The sequence below is a fragment of the Homo sapiens genome, chromosome 4 (genome assembly GCF_000001405.40).
Source record: "Homo sapiens chromosome 4, GRCh38.p14 Primary Assembly".
NCBI classification, from domain to species: domain Eukaryota; kingdom Metazoa; phylum Chordata; class Mammalia; order Primates; family Hominidae; genus Homo; species Homo sapiens.
Window position 1 is genome coordinate 146,412,417 of NC_000004.12, and position 20,186 is coordinate 146,432,602.

Below are 20,186 nucleotides of genomic sequence, written 5' to 3' on the forward strand. Positions count from 1 at the left end.
GACTGATAACATTTATAAAGCACACAAATATGCCTACTAAGCTTGTTATTGTTATAGTTTGTTATTAAAATGATGTTCTTCTAGCTTAGCCTGCCTACCATGACCTAAGTTAAAATTTTATGTATATCAACATAAACATCAGCCAATTTTTGACTTCAGCTAATCTGTCAATGACTCACATTTTTATATGGAGGATTTAAGCAAAGGATTAATACATTTTTAAGGATTTATACATTCTTTATCTGTGTTACACAATTTTATATGGATGATTTAAGCAAAACATTTAAAGGCTGAATTCTCTGATACAAAAATTATCTTAGAACAGGAGGAGAAATGGGGAGCAGTTGGGGGAGAAGAACTAGAACAAAATTGAACTATCTATTGTTCTTACTTACTCTGCTTATTTCCTGAATAGCACTTAATTATAATGTAATTATTATATCTGTTGTCTGTTTCCCTCTCTATTTGAATGTAAATTTCACCTGGAAAAGGATCATATCTGGCTGTTCACCACTCCATTTCCAATGTCTAGCTTAGTTCCAGGCACACAGTAAATACTCAATAAGTATTTCTTATACAAACAAATTTTTTAAAATTTCAACCAGATTGAATTAGAAGAGATTCCAAAGGACTTCCTAAACTTCTCTATTCCTTTAAAAACTTCATTTATCCTTTAAAAATTGATATTTATGGAAAAATATATGTGGGAAAACTTCATTTATCTAGGATCACTGTAGAATAATACATAAGCTGATTTTCTAAATAAGCTGATTTTCTCAGATAGCCAAAGATGATACCTTTAAGATTCTAAGACAGTTTAATTCCAATTATTTTAAGTGTGTCATTCAAACACACATCATTATTTACTTCTTTAGCTTGTTTTTTAAAAATAGGTTTCACGTAATTTATTAATGTCTTATAACCAAAATTGTGTATTAAAATGCTTTTACATTCTGTCATATAATATTGTAGTACCTTCAGATACTAGTGAGATAAGTAAGGCAATATGTCCCTAAACCAAAGGGACCTACCAACATAGACTCATATTTAATCATTTTGTTGTCTCCTTTCCTGCTTTCTATTTTCAGTATTTTACCTTCTAGCTGCTTCTTCACTACAGGTTCTTATTCCTAATAAGTTTTAATTTACTACTCAGGATGAATTAAAGATTCACTAAATAACTAACCTATAACAGAAATATTATGAAAATATTAAACAGTATCTTTTGCTTTTTTATTCAAATGTAAATACTATCGTTTGCAGACTTTCCATTCAAGCTAAGCCATTAAGCCTATCACCCAGAGTAGGGTAAATAAACATGGTCTACAGCATCAAAGTTGTTATTCAGATTTGAGAGTCATATAAGGTTTACCTGATGAGTTCCTAGAGGGAAAAGAGTCTTGAAAAAGATTCTCAGTATCCTTGAGAGAGAAAGAGATTTTTCTAAAGTCCTTAAATTCCTATTACAGATTAAGGGTCAAATCCAGTAGAGCTGAATATCAATCCTGACCATGAAGAAAGAGAAAGTTCAGGATATGATCCAAGGGAACTTTTAATGGCCCAGAGAACAAGCTCACTATACTTCTGAACTGCAGGAAGAGAAATTCAGAAAGACATGAAAGAGGAGGATGGGGAGGTCAGATACTAGGGTCCTTGCTTGAAAGGGATGGTGAAGTAGAAATGTCCAGAACCCAGAACACGGGCTAGTCAACAGCTTGCTCAGGTATAGCCTTGGGGAAGCTGCAAATTCCCAGAAAGCTCACATAGGGCCCTCCTCAACATGACTAGGAAACAACAGCATTGTGCTGACGAAAGGAGATGTCTAGATAAATAAGCGTTAAATAAAACTCCAATAAAGGTGATCCAAACACACCCATGTGCCCCCACGAAAAGACACCAAGTAGGCACTTGAAAAATACGACAACCCAGAACCAAACATAAGGCTTTTCCACAACCCTTCTAGCCTATTCTAAGATTCCACCAGGGGCTAACATGAAGTTCACTAGTGTTCAGAACTCACTTAGATGCCAGGCACGGTGGCTCACGCCTGTAATCCCAGCACTTTGGGAAGCTGAGGTGAGAGGATCACCTGAGGTCAGGAGTTCGAGACTAGCCTGGCCAACATGGTGAAACCCTGTCTCTACCAAAAATACAAAAATTAGCCAGGTGTGGTGGTCCATGTCTGTAATCCCAGCTACTCAGGAGGCTAAGCCAGAGAACCACTTGAACCCAGGAGACGGAGGTTGCAGTGGGCCGAGGTTATACCACTGCATACCAGCCTGGGAGAAAAAGCAAGACTCCATCTAAAAAAAAAAAAAACTCACTGAGAAAACTGCTTAAGAGCTTACACAGACATCTGTTCATGACTTTTATAAAAACCTATGCATTACTGAAAGTAAAATACTCAACAGTGGAAGCTGGGCAAAACAAAAGCAAAGGTCAGGTGGGGAATCAGAAACCTCCTTAAAAATCTTAATAGTCCCAGAATTAATATTCTCACTCCTAATGAAAATAGGACACAGTGAACTGTTGAGAAAACAACAGAAAAAAATTAAGCAATTTCCAAAGAGAAGGATAGCTTAATAATTCAATGGATATTCAAATTTTCGGACTACTTCCAGGAAATAAAAAGCTAAACTTTATGAAGAGAAAAACAGAAGAGGAAATCTCATTTATGTGGATTAGCATGAGAAAAAAAGAATGTGAGTCAGGATTCAGTACTGAAAAGTTCAAATTATGGAATTTTTTAAGAGAAAGAAACATTTACTACTTTCTGTAACTTGAACTAACCTCTGGTTTAAAGTGGAATTCCTTCAGCTACATGACATAATGGAAAGTAGATTGTCAAGAAATAGTGGGAACTGGATTCTGGCTGTGGTTCTTCTCATTACCAGCTGGATAAGCTTGGACAAACCCCTTGAACTTTCTGAATCTCAAGTTCATCATCTATTAAATGGCAAAAATAATAACTGCTAATATTTATGGAGTATTTACTACCATTTTACATGCTCTGTTAATATTTAACACCACATACTTCATTTAATCCCTACAAACATCCACAGGTTGACATAGTTGCTATTATATTCTTATCCAGGGAATGGAGGCACAATAAAGGGATACAAACACAGGCAGTCTGACTCCAGAACCAGTCTCATTGGAAATTCAGTCTCAGCAATACTGTACCTGCCTCACAGGACAACTGTGGTCCTTATTTGAGAACATATATGTAAAAGTGCTTTGAAAGCTATATGATGCTTTACATATAAGAAATCACTAGTATTTAATGAATAGATTAATTCATTCAAGATTAGCAGAGTTCATCTGTAATTAAATCAGTAAAGTATACTTTGAGTTCATTTCTCAAGTATATTAAAAATATCTACCACAAAATTATTTGCAGTATGACTATTTTTGATCAACTTTAATCCTATTCCAACCAGCTTGAAATATCATAGATTGCGAATTAGTTAGGTACACAGCCACAAAGAGCACTGTACAAATAGTGAGGAAAGCTCCCTAGCCTCTATCTTGCTCAGAAACTATTCCTTTTTCAATCCAATTCCAACAAACTGCTTTCCAAGTCTGGAGAAATTTTAAAAAATTGGCTGCTCTCCCAGACATACTCTATACCTATTCTCAGGTATGTTCAGAACCTAGTCTAGTGTCTGGCATGGAGCAGACACTTGGCTGAAAGACTGAGTGAGAATGATCAGCTTAGAGCAAGGGAGATGCCAGAAATTAAAGCAAAAACAATCTAACTCAAAAAGCACTGTGGCACAGCAGTCACTTAGTGTGGAGGCAAAAACTCAGTAGGGTTAGAAGTCAGCATGGTTAGCATGAGAGCCATGCCTAGTATGCTTGTCAATAGAGTAATGACCAAATAGGGTCACCAACAAAAGGTTAAACAACAGAGAATTTCAAAAGACTGGAGAGTATATGACGTACTTTAAAATATTTGTATTTAATATAATAAAAAAATGTTTAGAGAGTTGTTTAAAAGAATAAATCCTGAGCTAGCTAGAAAGCGTGAACACATTCGTTTCTTCACCTGACTCTATTTGAGAAACTCTGCTAGGATATCAATGAGCCTCAGCCCTTGCTCTCCAAGAACTTACATCCTGGTGATATCCTGGTGATGGAAGACAGGAATCAAAAAAAATTTCACAATAATTACTTAAAGTTCTGATAGGTGCTTTAAAGGAACTGCACTACTTACCAGGAGAGTATTCAGAAAGAGAATCTGGTCTTTCTGAATACTCTACTAGAAAAGAACTCAGAACTTACAAATGTCTTCCCATCTCATTTGGATTTAAAGCCAAAATCTTTTCAATGACCCACAAGGTCCTAACTTTATAATCTGGACCCTTATTACATATCTGAATTCATCTTCATTGCCTTTTCTGTTCTGGCTATTCTCCTACCTCAATACCTTTGTACTTTGAGTTATCTCTATATGAAACAAACACCATTTCCCCAAATATCCCCATGGCTTGCTCTCTCACCTCCTTCAAGTCTCTGCTCAAATGTTCTTTTATAAATGAGACTGTCACCCACCACCTTTCAATAAAATGCAACCCCTCTAGTTTTATCCCTTTCCTGCTTCATTTCTGTTCTCTCCATAAGATATATATATAAATATAAAACATAGTAAAAGTGTACATTTTAGTTGTTGTATTCCCTCACTAGAATGTAAGGTCCACAAGTGTTATCTGTTTTATACATTTTCATAGCCTCACTATAGAGTAGGGGCTCAGCAAAGTTATTTGTTGAATAAACGAACTGGAGAGACTATAAGCATGCCCTTATGGCAGATGCCTTGTTGGTGAAGAAGATGGCACAGGATGAAGCTTGAGAGGGAGGCAAGAAATAGACCATGGAGAATCTTTTAAGCCACATAACAGACGTTGGTTTTTATCTCAAGAAAGTCATTGAAGGATTTTAAGCAGAAAAATGACACGATCAATTTACATCTTTTAAGATAATTTTAACTACTATGTGGAGAATAGAATGAAATGGGCCAAAAAGAGATGAGAAAATCCAGAGCAACTCTCATCTCCAGGGTGAACACAAGTTTTGTTGTCTCTCTGTGTGAAGCTGTATACATCCTTAACACACGCTCATGTAAAAACAACTTATTGTTTGCCTATCACAGTAGTATTTACAAAATTCCCAATCCAAACTCTCAAAATTTAAATGCTTCTTTCCCAAATGTTTTCCTTCTGAATAAGCCCTGAAATAAACTGTACTTTTAGCAAATTCTATTTGCTTCGACAGCAATATATAATATAGTGAAGACTTTAAGCTTGCACAAAACATATCACTATGAACAAGGTCCATAAAGGTTAAGAGTAGCCTAATTTTCTTTGATTCTTTCAGCTACAGATTTGGCTAAGGGCTTGGATACTACGGGAAAGAAGATAAGTGAGAAAAACATTGGTGATTTAACCTCTAGTGTTCCCTTAAGGACAAACATTTGTCACCTTGACAGCAAGGTGAAAGGTTTGCAGCCAGCATGCTTATAACAGGACTCTCTCCTCTCTCTCCTCCCTGGGGACCTGTGAGTTCTGAACAGACAATATCTGAACAGATGATGATGATGATGATGATGATGATGATGATGATGATAATGATCCACAGAAAAGAATAGGGGAGGAAAAGAGATTGAGACCCCACATAACTCAGAGCCTCAAACTGAAATGATGCTCCAGGGACTGTCACAAAGATTTAGCATTTGCGCTCTTCTTCCTAAGCTTCCACTTAAGGCTGAAGTAATCAACCTTATAAATTATCACAAAACATTCAAACATTGTCCAATGTTAACAGCATGGATTCCATTGCTAATAATTATGAGTGTGTTTTAAAGCTGAATTCCTAGGCATATATAGCTCCACTTTTGATACAAATCTCTAGTTTTTAGGGTTTACAATTCTGGTGTGAAAGTCAGCTGCAGGCTTAAATCAGGCACTAAAACAAGCCTGATGTTTACTCTTCATGAATACATATAATCCAAATTAGCATTAAAATGATGATACCCATGCATCCAAAAGAATAATAGGATCTCTGTTTTAGCCTAAAAGCTACATTGCTTATAGTATTTTCAAAAGTGAAATAGGAAAAGATATTTTGAAAGCTAAAGATTTTTTTTAAAAAAGAATTAAAGTTTTTTATGATCGTTTTTAATTTAATTTACCTGTGACATGTGAAAAACCAAAGCAAAGTGCATTTCCTACTCTCTCTTACCACTCGATACAACACTTCTGACACCGGATGTGTAGGAGTGTTTCCCCACACACCAAGCAATTCTCCAACTGGATGTGCTCTAATTCAATTCAATTCTAACACTCTCCACCTGCAGAGAGTGTCAGATCCCAAAGGTGGGGGCTCAGTCCCACAAGGCTATCCCCCACTTCAGATGACAACTTCAAGCTCCAGGTTGTGGCTTGTGCTTCTACCTGACCAGCTATAAATCAGGGTTCCCACAACCCCTCCTCATGTTTGATTAATTTGCTAAAGCTCACAAAAATCAGGAAAAACACTTGTGTTTGCCAGATTATGATAAAGGATATTACAAAGAACACAGATGAAGAGCCAGATGGAAGATATGCATAAGGCAAGGCATGTGGGAAGGGGCACGGAGCTTCCATGCCCTCTCCAGGGCACAATGGGAACCTCCTTGCATTTGGCTATCAGCAAGCGCTCTGAACCCTGTCCTTTTGGATTTTTATGGAGGCTTCATTATGTAGGTATGATTGATTATGTCATTGGCCATTGGTGATCAACTCAACCTTCAGCCCAGGAGGTTGGGAAATGGGATTGAAAGTCCCTACCCTCTAATCAAGCCTTGGTCTTTCTGGTGACCAGCCCAGATCCTGCAACTATCTAGAGGCCAATAAGCCAAATTAGCACACAAAAGTCACTCTTATCATTCTGGAGATTCCAGGGATTTTAGGAGCTTTATACCAGAAAATACATATTTCACAATATCACATTTAACTTAATTTCACTAATTTAATTTTAGGAATCAGTGACATTGATCTATGTGTTCCTTTGATGAATGAAATTTTACCTAGATAACTATTTTACACTTTTATTTTGAAAAATATCTTACATTAAAATCACTATAAAATCACAATTAAAGGCCAGGCACAGTGGCTCATGCCTGTAATCCCAGCACCTTGGGAGGCTGAGGTTGGTGGATCACATAAGGTCAGGAGTTCAAGACCAGCCTGGACAACATGGTGAAATCCCATCTCTACTAACAATATAAAAATTAGCCAGGCATGGTGGCGGGTGCCTGCAATCCCAGCTACTCAGGAGGCTGAGGCACGAGAATCGCTTGAGCCCAGGAGGCAGAGGTTATAGTGAGCTGAGATCATGCCACTGCACTCTAGCCTGGGTAACAGAGCAAGACTCCGTCTAAAAAAAAAAAGAAATCACAAAGCTACCATCCATTTCGTTTCAATATCTACCCAATGTCTAATCATTACTGTCTCTAAGTACTGTCAGAGGACTAAAATTATTTTTAATAAGACAATGAGCTTTTTAACATAATGAATACTAACGAACATAATAAAAATGTAATGTTACAAAGTGTACCAAGAAATGTATGAGAATGAAGAGGACTGGCCGTATAGAATTGAAGGCTGGGACACAGGAAGGATGAGATTGGAAGTTAAGAAGAAAACAAAACAGAGAGGAGAATTAATGGTTGAACTAAAAGACTGTCTATTCACTTAACACCCATGTGTTCTTCATTCATGAAAAAAAAAGTAGTTATCTACTATATCTACCTCTGGACACCACATCACTAATACATATCAAATGAAATGTTTATTTATCTCACAATGGTTTTCTCACCTACATTTCCGGTTTTTGTTCATGATGCTTCGCAACAATTAATCTTAAGATCTTTGAGTCCCCAGTCTCTTTATGTTTCTTGAATTTCCTGGCCTTTTTACCATATAATATTCCAGAAGCTTTCATGAAAAACTTGGTCAGTATAAGTATCTAAGTAAAAACCACCATTATAGTGATGCTTAAAAAACGTACTTATTAGGGATTCATGTTGAAATTATATGATCACCAGAGTTTGCTTCAAAATAATACCTGAGAGGAAGAAAGTGGATGGAAATGTAGAGGAAAAAAGACTGGGCTGAGTTGACATCTGTAGAAGCTGAGAGATAGGTACATAAGGCTTATTAATATTATTTGGTCTACTCTGCATACATTTCAAAGTTTCTAATTTTAAAAATGTTGCTGTTGTTTTTTTTAGGGGTCAGAGATTTAGGAAAATATCATATTTGGGGGCTAGATAAGAAGTTTCAACAGCTGGGCACGGTGGCTCATTCCTGTAATCCCAGCACTTTGAGGGGCTCAGGCAGGAGGATTGCTTGAGGCTGAGAGTTGAAGACCAGCCTAGGCAACATAGCAAGATTCTGTCTCTACACAAAAATTTTTAAAATTAGCTGTGTGTGGCATTGCAGACCTGTAGTCCCAGCTACTAGGAAGGCTGAGGTGGGAGGATTGCTTGAGCCCTGGAGGTTGAGGCTGCAGTGACATATAATTGCACCACTGTACTCCAGCCTGGGGGACAGAGCAAGATCCTGTCTCCAAAAACAAAAAAGGTCTTGAGAAAGGCTTATACAGAGAATTTTGGGGTAAAATACTCTCGATAATAATAGTAGCACCTACCATTTATGAATGCTTGCTAATGGGCCACTCTGCTAAGCATTTGAGAGATTTAATCTTATTTAATCTCTATCAGTACTCCTAGTTAGGTATCCCTAACTCAAAACTTGGTAGAGACTCCTCCTCCAGTATCAGGTCCTTGCATACAGTAGTCACTAGGTTAATATTAACTGTCTAAATAATTGAATAAATGATTAAGAAAGTTTTTCCTTTTTCTTTTGTGTTTGTGGTCCTTTATTTGTAAGACAATTGAAAAGCTCTAGCCAAAGTATTCATTGTTGTTCATCTGGGCTCAGAACATTCTACACAGCATCTTTCACTCACCAACTTACCAATAAACACATTGCTACCAGGCCATTTCTCCCAGTATAGCACTTTGTCCATGATATACTCCTTGAAAACTCTTCAGCAATGCCTCACATGGTATCATGTCCAAGTTGAGCCTCTCACTCAGGCTCTCTATAATACTGTCTCACCTAATTTCCACCAGCCACCAAGAATGGGCTTACTCCAGTAAATGCCCCTCTTTTCACTTTCTTGCCTGCAACTGACCATTCATTCATTTATTTTTTATGTGTTGATCATCTACTATGTACCAGGTACCGTATTTGCCATTACATTTATACACAGAGAGATATAACAGTGAGCATAACAGGCATGGTCCCTGCCCTTACTGGGCCACATCCTCTCTCAGGTTGACCTTCTCCACTTGGGCTGTTCTCAATTTTCAAGATCTTCACACTTAACATTCACCAGCATCCTTTCCTGATCACTTTAACCTACTGTGTCCTCTCTTTTTTAATTGATGATATCACACATTTGAGCACTTAATTATATTTTGTCTTGTGTTTCTTTCTCTGAGTGTTTTACTTAGGCACATCTCCTTTCTTCGATTACACTCTCTTAAACAGAAATTGTATCTTATATTCTTCATCACCAAACTGAATGTAACTCAGCTGACTTCAATGATATATGTACAACATGAAGTTAATAAATAGCTTTCAGTATTGAAAAGAGCCAAGCATACAAAGTCAAAATAATAATAGATCAAGATCTAATTTATCTTTGAAAATGGAGAAATAAAACGCTCTAGGAAAGGTACAGGTATGTAAATAGGGAGAATAAAGGTACAAAAAAAGAAATTTTTCCCATATGGTATAACTGTCTCCAATAATGTATAATATTTTAGGGGATCTATGAAACATCAGTCTTTTCCTTTAATTCTTGCATTTCATAGAACATAATTTAGAGGCCATACCATAGGCCAAATTTATTAGGGCTCTGCTATGATGTCAATAATATTGATAGGAGCAAATTAAGTCTTTACTTATTTAGAAGAAAAACTCTTTTTCAACAGAAGTAAAGATTAATATTTAGAAAGAGAGAGTATAACATTTACCTAAAAAGAACATTACTATAGTTTAACCGTGTATAAAACTGTAACTAAAAAGTTTAATAAGTGGACTTGCAGACTTCTCATGTCAAACATAACTTTCTTGCAGAAATCCAGCTATGACAAACATTAGACCTGATTTTCTTATATGTATTACTTGTCTCTTTCGGATTATTATTTTGGATTATACTGTATTTTGTCTACAATGTGCTAATATTATAACTCATAATAAGATAATCCTACTTAGATTGTTTCCTAGAGAATCAATAATAGTAAGGTCCTCTTAGTCTGAAATGAATGTCATTATTTTCCTAAATTCTACCTGTTCTGCAAAGCTGCTTCTCATGCCATCTATTTTGGGAGGTCTTCCCAACCGCCCATATTTTAGCCAATCTTTACATGTCCTTTCATATATACTAATTAATATAGTGTAAATTCTCTGAGAGTAGGATTTGGACCTGTTGACATATTTTTATTCCTCCCAGCAGCTACATTGAAAGCATTACCTTCAAAGTATTCAATAACAAGTGACCTTTTCTAATGATAAGAACAATTGTGTATAAAAATATAGATGAATAAATATGTATAAAAAGTTCTTTCACAAGTCCATTAAGCACATAGAAAATTTCACAAGCAAAAATTATATACATATTTCTAAATGTCACCCTAAAAATGCATTTTTCCAAACTGTATAAATTTTTTTTTGCTAAAATTCTAAGTTCTTATCAAGTGAGCTAAATTAACCAAACCTGAAAATAAATTTCCTTTGCAACTAACTCCTAGGTCTATTTAACAAGTCATTTTCTCTGTATTGCTTTGATTCCTTCTTCCTTCAGTTCTATTTCTTCTTAGTCCCTGCAGAGTATAACTTGGGCAAATTTAGAGTATGAATTAGACAAATGAAAATTACAATAATAGTTGGTATGGTTAAAAGTGTTGAATAACTTTTGGATAAATCACCATCACCTGTCAAACTTTGGATTTGTCAAATGTTTCCTAATTATATGATAGGATTTCCTTGCCTAGAGACAGTCTTTGCCTGACTAAAAGCATAAAATCTACATCAAAATTGTAATTTAAAACACCAAAGCGAGGTGGTAAAAAAGATCAACGAAGAAAAAGAAACCCAACTAACAATGGTTGGTAATTTCAACAGTGAAGAGCTTAGGTTTAGTGCTACTCAATAGCCCTAAAGGAATAAATGAGAAAAATAAGAAGAACGTAATATGAATATCATACATTTATTCCAGCTATTCTGAAATATAGCCTTGTGAGTTTTATGTTTAAATGCCCATTCCTTCCATGAAATGATGACAATAACAAATGGTAATTCCATTTAGAAAATAAAGAATGGAAAACATTAGGCATCTGCCAAAATTTATTTTGAAGTTTTACTTATCAGGGGAATCTAAATGTTAGAAAATCACTGGCCTAGTCAGTCAACCAACCATGTAAGAAAGACCTATCTTACAAAAAACAATCTTTGAACTGTGAAGAAGGTTAAAGCAGATTTTTTAAAAATGTTATAGTCCCATGAGAACAGTTGGGTTTTGTTTGTTTTTGTTTTAAATAGAGACAAGATCTCCCTCTGTTGTCCAGGCTGGAGTGTAGTGGCAGAATCACGGCTCACTGCAGCCTAGAACTCACAGGCTCAAATGGTTCTCCCACCTCAGCCTCCAGAGTAGTTGGGACTACAAGCGGGCAACACCACATCTGTCTAATTTTTTAATTTTTTGTAGAGACAGGGTCTTGCTGTGTTGCCCAAGCTGGTCTCAAACTCCTGGGCTCCAATGATCCACTTGCCTCAACCTCCCAAAATGCTGGGATTACAAATGTGAGCCACCATTCTTGTCTGAGAATCATTGTTAAATACAGAATAAGGGCTGGGCACGGTGGCTCACGCCTGTAATCCCAGCACTTTAGGAAGCCAAGGCAGGCGGACCACCTGAGGTCAGGAGTTAGAGACCAGCCTGGCCAATGTAGTGAGACCCCATCTCTATAAAAATGCAAAAATTAGCTGGGCGTGGTGGAGGCCACCTGTAATCCCAGCTACTCAGGAGGCTGAGGTAGGAGAATGGCTTGAACCCAGGAGACAGAGGTTACATTGAGCCAAGATCGGGCTACTGCACTGTAGCCTGGGTGACAGAGCGAGACTCCATCTCAGAAAAAAACAAAAAAAAAACAAAAACAAAAACAAAAAAACAGAAGAAACCATGAGTTAAATATAAAACCATATTTGAGACTCTGAAAATGAACTGACTTTCAGGCTCAGGCATTTCTAGCTACAACATTATACTATTTTCCAAAAAACATTTCTTATACATATGAAGTTGTATTTATTTTCCTGGCACTGTCACCATTTCTGAAAGAGTATTATTAATTTGTCAGAACAGTATAGTGTTGAAAAAGAAAAGCAATCTACCATGATGAAATGTCATAATTATGTAAATTTTAATTTAATCATTAAAAAAAGTTCTGGCTGTGCACCAGGGTTTTTTCTAATATCCTAAAGTAAACAGTCCTCTCAGTAAACTAAAGGAAAAATGCAAATAAAAATCATGAGCACTTTTCAATAAGAAAAATGTTTAAGTGCTGGATACTTAACTAACTAGTATCTTAACAACAGATCCCTGACAAGCTGAACATGTGTATGTGATTGCCTTTGAATTCACTAGAGAAGACTGGAATGGGAAGTTGGACTGTTACCTGAAAGAAACATACAAAAATAAAGACATATAAGAATAGACATCAAATTATATTAAAATGTATAAAATGCAATATAGTTTATAATTAAACGGATTAAATATATAATTGCAAAATAGTTTGTTTATTAAATATCTTTCACCAGCGCTCTCCAGTAGAGCAATGATGAAAATGTTCAACACTCTGCACTGTCCAATGCAGGAGCCACCAGTCACATGTGTCTGTTGGATACCTAAAATGTGGCTAGTGTGACTGAGGAATAGAAAAGTTTAACTTCATTTAATTTTCATTAATTGAATTTTAAATAGCCACATGTGGCTTGTGGACACCATATTGGTCAGCGCAACTATAGACGATACAAAATGGAAATACTAATGTACCTCCCTCTTCCTGAACTTGAAAATAAAAGAAATACCTTTACGGTAAAAACATGCAAGATCACCTTAAAACATGAGTCAATGTCAGCAGGACTTTAAGGTATGGTGGGTCAATAAAAAAGGGGAAACCAGCCAGCAATGGAAATAGAGAAAACAAACCTAAAAGCAATGATTGAGAATACCTATCTAAGCACTACCTGGGAAAGAAGATCGCTGGTCCAAATGATGGACATGTCTGTTTCCAAGGGCAGTGTACCCTTGCAGGGGAGCCAGACACATCCATTTCCAATAGCCTGATAGAATCACACTTGAGAATTACCTCCCTACCTCTGCTTCCTCTAATCCCATTCTCACCAAATAAACTCCTTAGTAAAATACTTTCTCTTGTGAATTTAACCATGAAGAGAGAATGCATCAAGCCAAGTGTCTAAAGGTCTCTCAAATTATTTTTTCCATTCACAATTAGTAAATTGGCAATCTGTCTTAAGTATCATTATGTATGATTAATGTGAGTCTATTCCTGCAAGGTAGAGCCACAAAATTAGTTTCTAAACAGAACCATCACAAACTTTCAAAGTATATGCCACTTTTTCCTGACAATCAGGTGCTCAGGATCTTAAAAATGTGGGATGATTCCAATAGACAATGAAAAAAGTAATATTACTAGAAACGGTTCAGCGAGCGACATCATGCTACCATCAAAGCCAAAGAAAGAGCTCTCAGATCTGTGAGGTATTGAGTGATTTCCAGTAGAGAAAGAAAAACTTCTTTAAGGACTATGTGGCACCCAACCTCTCCTTCTTTATGAAGAAAAACTTAGGCCAGGTGCTGTGGCTCACATCTGTAATCCCAACACTTTGGGAGGCCAAGGTGAAAGGATCACTTGAGCTTAGGAATTCAAGACCCGTCTAGACAATATAGCAAAACCCCATCTCTACAAAAAATAAATTAAATAAGTAAATAAAAAGAAGAAAAACTTTTCCTTCTAGTTTGTATTTTTAAAAACATATAACAGGCCATTTGTGCAGTGGCTCACACCTGCAATCCCAGCACTTTGGGAGGCTGAGGTGGGCAGATCACGAGGTCAGGAGATGGAGACCATACTGGCTAATACGGTGAAACCCCGTCTCTATTAAAAAATACAAAAATTAGCTGGGCATGGTGGTATGCGCCTGTAACCCCAGCTACTCGGGAGGCTGAGGCAGGAGAATCGCTTCAACCTGGGAGGCGGAGGTTGCAGTGAGCCAAGATAGCTCCACTGCACTCCAGCCTGGGTGACAGAGTGAGACTCCGTCTCAAAAAACAAACAAACAAAATAAACCTATAACAAAACATATGTTTTGGTGACTCACTATTTAGCAGTCTCGTAGAGAAATGAACAGTCAGGGACAATTAGGAAAAGTAAGACAAAGATGCACAATGTTATCTGAGATTTTTATTAGTGTATGCTATTTCTGTCTTTAGAAAATTCTTACTGATTATGGCACTAAGTTGATGGAATCTAAAAGTGGCCAGACATGATGGAAGATTTGTTTCAGAACTAAGGATTGTAGACCAGCTTGGGTAACACAGCAAAACCCTGTCTCTATAAAAAATTAAAACAAAAAATTAGCTGGGCATGGTGTTGCACGCCTGTGGTTCCAGCTACTCAGGAGGCTGAGATGGGAGGATCACTTGAGCCAGAGAGGCAGAAGTTACAGTGGGTTGTGATGCTGCCACTGCACACCACCCTGGGTGACACACACACACAAAAGAAAGAAAAGTATTCTTCTTAATCTGGATGTTTTCTAGTGTTACAAGCTTAAAACTTTTTTTTTAACACTGGTTTGCACTGGTAGGAGTTTTTATTCAATTTTTTTTAAGCTGGAAATTTAACCTTTTGACTTCAACAGTTGTTTGGCTGGAAACTACACAAGATATAGACCCAAAATTCTACAGAGACATATGGTGATATGGAATCAGGATTCAACCATCTTTGAGGAAAAATATCTGTGAATTAAAGGGCAAAAGGTAGAAGCCTCTATGTTTATATACTGTTTCCATGATCTCTACTCATTGTTTCCTCTTTAGTTTAAAAAGGTAGAAATAAATGAAGAAAAGAGGGAAAAGAAACATTTAACCTACTTTCTTTGGTACACTAGAAATAATCTTTCCTATTACTGATTTTAATTATTGAAAAGATTGACAAATCTGTCCTGCTCTTCATTTGCATACCTCGGTAGCTACTGATCAGGTATTCTGAATGGCTTGTTAGCCTGTTCTCAAAAATACAGATGTTAATGTATTTTTTAGGTTATTATTTTAAAAATGGAGCCAAACGCAGTGGCTCATACCTGTAATCCTAGCACTTTAGGAGGTTGAGGCAGGATAATTGCTTGAGCCCAGGTGATCAAGAACCAGCCTTGGCAACAAAGTGAGACTCAGTCTCTACAAAAAATTAAAAAAAAAAATTAGCTGGGCATGGTGGCGCATGCCTGTAGTCCCAGCTACTTGAGAGGCTGAGGTGAGAGGATAGCTTGAGCCTGGGAGGTTGAGGCTGCAGTGAGCTGTGATCTTACCACACTGCACTCCAACTTTGGCAATGAAACAAGACCCTAACTCAAAAACAAACAAACAAACAAACAAAAACCACTAACTTTCCCATTAAAAAATCATTTGAGTAACTATCCTTCCTTTACTTTCTTAAAAGTCTGTCTCTTCTCCATTACATGGAGATAGATAGCACTCTCCAAAGCTTCTCCAGCCCAAGTCACATCTTTATTATTTTCTATATCTCATTTAACAAATTTTAACCGCTGACAAGATGATAAGACCAAAAAGTCAAAGCAATATTCTGAATTATGAACTCATCAAACTCAAGTGCAGAGGGCTGTAACATGATGCTTCTAAACAGCAAACCACATTAGCTTGCATCTGCTGTCATATGATATTGCAAGTTCAAGTTATCTGGTTTGTCATTCTCACCTTGGCTCTTTTTTTTTTTTTATTTTCTAAGGACTTCTAATGCCTCTCAGACATGGATTTGATCTAGTCTTTATACATCATTGAATTGGTTCTTTTTCATACTTATATTTTTACTTCTTCTTTAGGATACTGTACAGTTTCTTTTTATGCACTGTCTAGAAATTTAACTTTCACTTGTCAATTTGATTAAAGTATGTATTTCACAAGTAGATAAAAAATAAACTTTAATTTAAAAAAATACTTTCCTTTAATACCAACAGTGAAATCATTCTCTACAATGCTATATAATAGAAATCACTTATTACATCCTTTTATTTACACATCTCTAGCTATTTAAATATTTGTAGTAATCACACTTGTAGCCATTTTCCATGTAAAACTTCCTGATATTTAAAATCATTATTTCAATGAAAATAGCATATGGGTTTGGTAAACTATTATACAGGGATAATCTGCCCTAATCTACTTCACAGGATTTTCTTCTTTAGTAGAAAAAAAATCTTATAAATTACTAAATATCAAACTTAGATGTGGGGATGAATTTCCACTTCCATTCCAAATCAACACTGTGAATATAAGGCAATATAAATTTCTTATGGCTACAGCAAGTTTTATTGAGATTTAAAACCTTGGAATTTAAAATCATTTTAATGTGGTAAAGAAAAATTTGGTAGACAGATGACCAATTATGGTCAAAACAGATGACAAAAAGATGGGATTTTTGTCAAAAGAATTCAACATACAATTATGATAATTAGCGTACATTTTAAGTGCATATGATATACAAGATATTTTACAATCAGATAAATGAAGAGAGATTAAAATAGCATTCATTGGGTGATTTCTGTCTATTCATCTAATATTTTTTGAAAGCTTACTTTGTGCCAAGTACTATAAATATTGAAGATAGATAGAGTAGTGAAACAACCAAAGGAAAACAAACACCTGCCTTCATGGAGCTTTCATTTGAATAGGGAAAGACAGTCAATTAATGTAATAAATGACAAATTATATACTATGTTGGAAGACATTATTTTATAGAAAGAAAAATAGCAGGCTAACAAAAATAGGAAGTGCCAGAGATGGGAGAGAAGATCAGAATTTCAAATTAACTACACTAACCAGTTACAATCTATAGTAACCCATTACAATCTAGATGGAAACTCACTCCAAAAGCTAAATAACCATAAAAGGAAAGCTGGAGAAATTGCTTTTGAGATAGGTTTTGAAGGACAGCTAGGATAATAGAATGGATGGGAACAGTGCAAGCAAAGAGGTGGGAGCAGAAAAAGGTCCAAGTGTTAGAGGATGCTTTATAAGTATAAAGGCAATGAAAAAAAATCCATAAAGGAAAAAATGGACAAACGTGACATACATAAAAATTTTAAAATTCTATAACCATATGCAAAGTAACAAACCCCAACTAATACACTGAACTATACAAAAAAAATCATTCAAAACGGATCACAGGACTAAATGTAAAAACAAAAATTAAAACTTATAGGAGAAAACATAGGGGAAAAATCTTTGTGACAAACAAGGATTTCTTAGATAGGATACAAAATGCCTGAGCCATAAAAGAAAAAAAAATAGTTAAACTGGATTTAACAAACAGGAGAGGGTGAAGGGTGGATCAACAGTTAACATGGGAATGAAAGACACTGGATGGGCGGGGAGAGAGAGAGACAATAGGGCCACACTCGGAGGATCCCTGAATGGCCAATTAGATAGTGGGTAATTAAGAGCCACTATAGACATTAGGGCATAGGAGTGACACATAAAAGTTATATGTGATAATAGTTTATCTTACAACATTGTGTGGATGACAATGAAGAAGATAGGATTCATTGCCCTGGCTCTTGGAAATTACCAAAAGCACAATAATGTTAATAAACATATCCCTCCAAAATCAATGGATAAAAATATTAACTTAAACTTTCAAGTGAAAACCTAGGAACACTGCAGAAAATAACTGCTTACAAAAGAACTGGCTGAATAATAAAAAAACCAAAATACAAATCTTGAACTGTACACCAACTACTGTTATAAGGTAAAACTATAAACACGGTGAACATTTTAATTATTCCACTTATTAAAAATATCACCAAAAAAAGCTACTCAGGAAAAGTAAACAAGTGTAGGGTTCTAGCAAAAAAGAAAGCTATAAGCTCAGAGTATAACCATCCCCGGACACATAGAATATGAATCAATGTTACTCTAGATAACACTAGTTACTCTAGTTACTCATAGTCTAGAAGATTTGTGGTGCTTTGACTTTCTAATTTCCAAAATACCAAGTTTATATTAGTAGAATTTTTTTCCCCTGATCAGTGCAGCTCGTTCAATTACCAAAAGTTAAAATCAAGTTTATCAAGGCTCTTAAGATTATGAATTTTATTTTTATAAAGTCCTCCATTATCTTAAATTACTCTAAGAAAGTTATTCACCTTGGTTCATAATCCTCCAAATAAGAATATTTTACTATTAATTTGTGTGAACATTTGTAAATAAAATTAATATAAAAATGAAGTTTCTATAATTTTCCCTTATTCTTTTATGTCCATCCCCATTTCACATTTTGAATAAACAATTTTATCTTAAGTAATTGCGTTAATGTCATGTGTGATATCCTAAGATAGAAAAGCAATTTTTAACAGTCATGAATACTGATCCAATTATTTTCAGGGACAGGCATATATATCAATATGTAGATGTGAGAATAACACTATGAGGCTGGATTTACAGGGCAAAAAAACACAGTGGCGAAAGCAACAAACAGAAATTGACTTCTTTAACAAGTGATACGATAATCAGGTGAAGCATTTTCAATCTATTATTTCTTTTTATAAACCCCCATATGATGGGCTTTGCTTTTCAACATACACAATATTAAATATTCATCTTGATTATAAAACTAAAAGAAAATACACATGAATTTTTACCTGACATTGTGATAGGAAAAAGCTTCATACGTATAAAGGCAATGAAAAAATCCATAAAGGAAAAAATGGACAAATGTGACAGACACATAAACCTTACAACTCTAGAACCACACGAAAAGTAATGAACACCAACCAATACACTAAACTATACACAAACATTAATTCAAAATGGGTCACAAGACTAAATGTAAAAACAAAAACTAAAACTTATAGAAGAAAACATAGGAGAAAAATATTTGTGACAAACAAGGATTTCTTATATAGGATACAAAAAGCCTGAGTCATAAAAGAAAAAAAAAGACAAACTAGATTTATCAAAAATTTTGAACTTCTGTTATTTGAAAATTACTGTTAAGAAAATGAAAAGATAAGCTACAGACTGGAACAAAAATCACTTACATAATATATGTCTGATAAATGACTGGTGTCCAAAACATACTTAAAAACTTGCACCTAATTATAAGAAAACAACCTAATAAATAAGATGGGCAAGAGATTTGAACACACAGGCCACCAAAGATATACGGATGGCAAATAAGCACATAAAAAATGTCCAACATCATTAGACGCTAGAGAAATACAAATTAAAGTTTTGATGACATACCGCTACACACCTATTAGAATGGCTAAAATAAAAAATATTGCGAATGTCAAGGGATGGCAAGGTTGTGGAGTAACTGGACTACTTATACAATCCTGCTAGGAATGTAAAATGGTACAATCACTTTGGGAAAGAGTTTGGTGGTTTCTTATAATGTTAAAATATACTCACTATATGACTCAGCATAAATATTTTCCCAAGAGAAATAAAAACATATATCTATACAAGAACCTGTACAGAAATATTTATAGCAACTTTATTTATAATTATCATCCAGGAAACAACCAGTTCATCAACTGGTAAATTTATTAAAAATTTATTACTACTTAGCAATAAAAAGAAATTAACTACTGATATATACAACATAGATGAATCACAAAAGTGTATTCTAAGTGATAGACACCGTACTCAAAAAGCATATACCGTGTGATTCCATTTAGATGACTTTCTAGAAAAAGGCAAAAGTATAGAGAAAGGAAAAAAAATCAGTGGCTGCCAGAGACTGAGGATAAGGGAGG

At 35.4% G+C, this 20,186-nt stretch overlaps 1 protein-coding gene across 12 annotated transcripts in view; it reads right to left on the reverse strand.

Annotated features, from left to right (window-relative positions):
* The window catches only part of SLC10A7 (solute carrier family 10 member 7), a 267,960-nt gene that overhangs the window by 158,436 nt on the left and 89,338 nt on the right, over nucleotides 1–20,186 (reverse strand). The window lies entirely within an intron of this gene.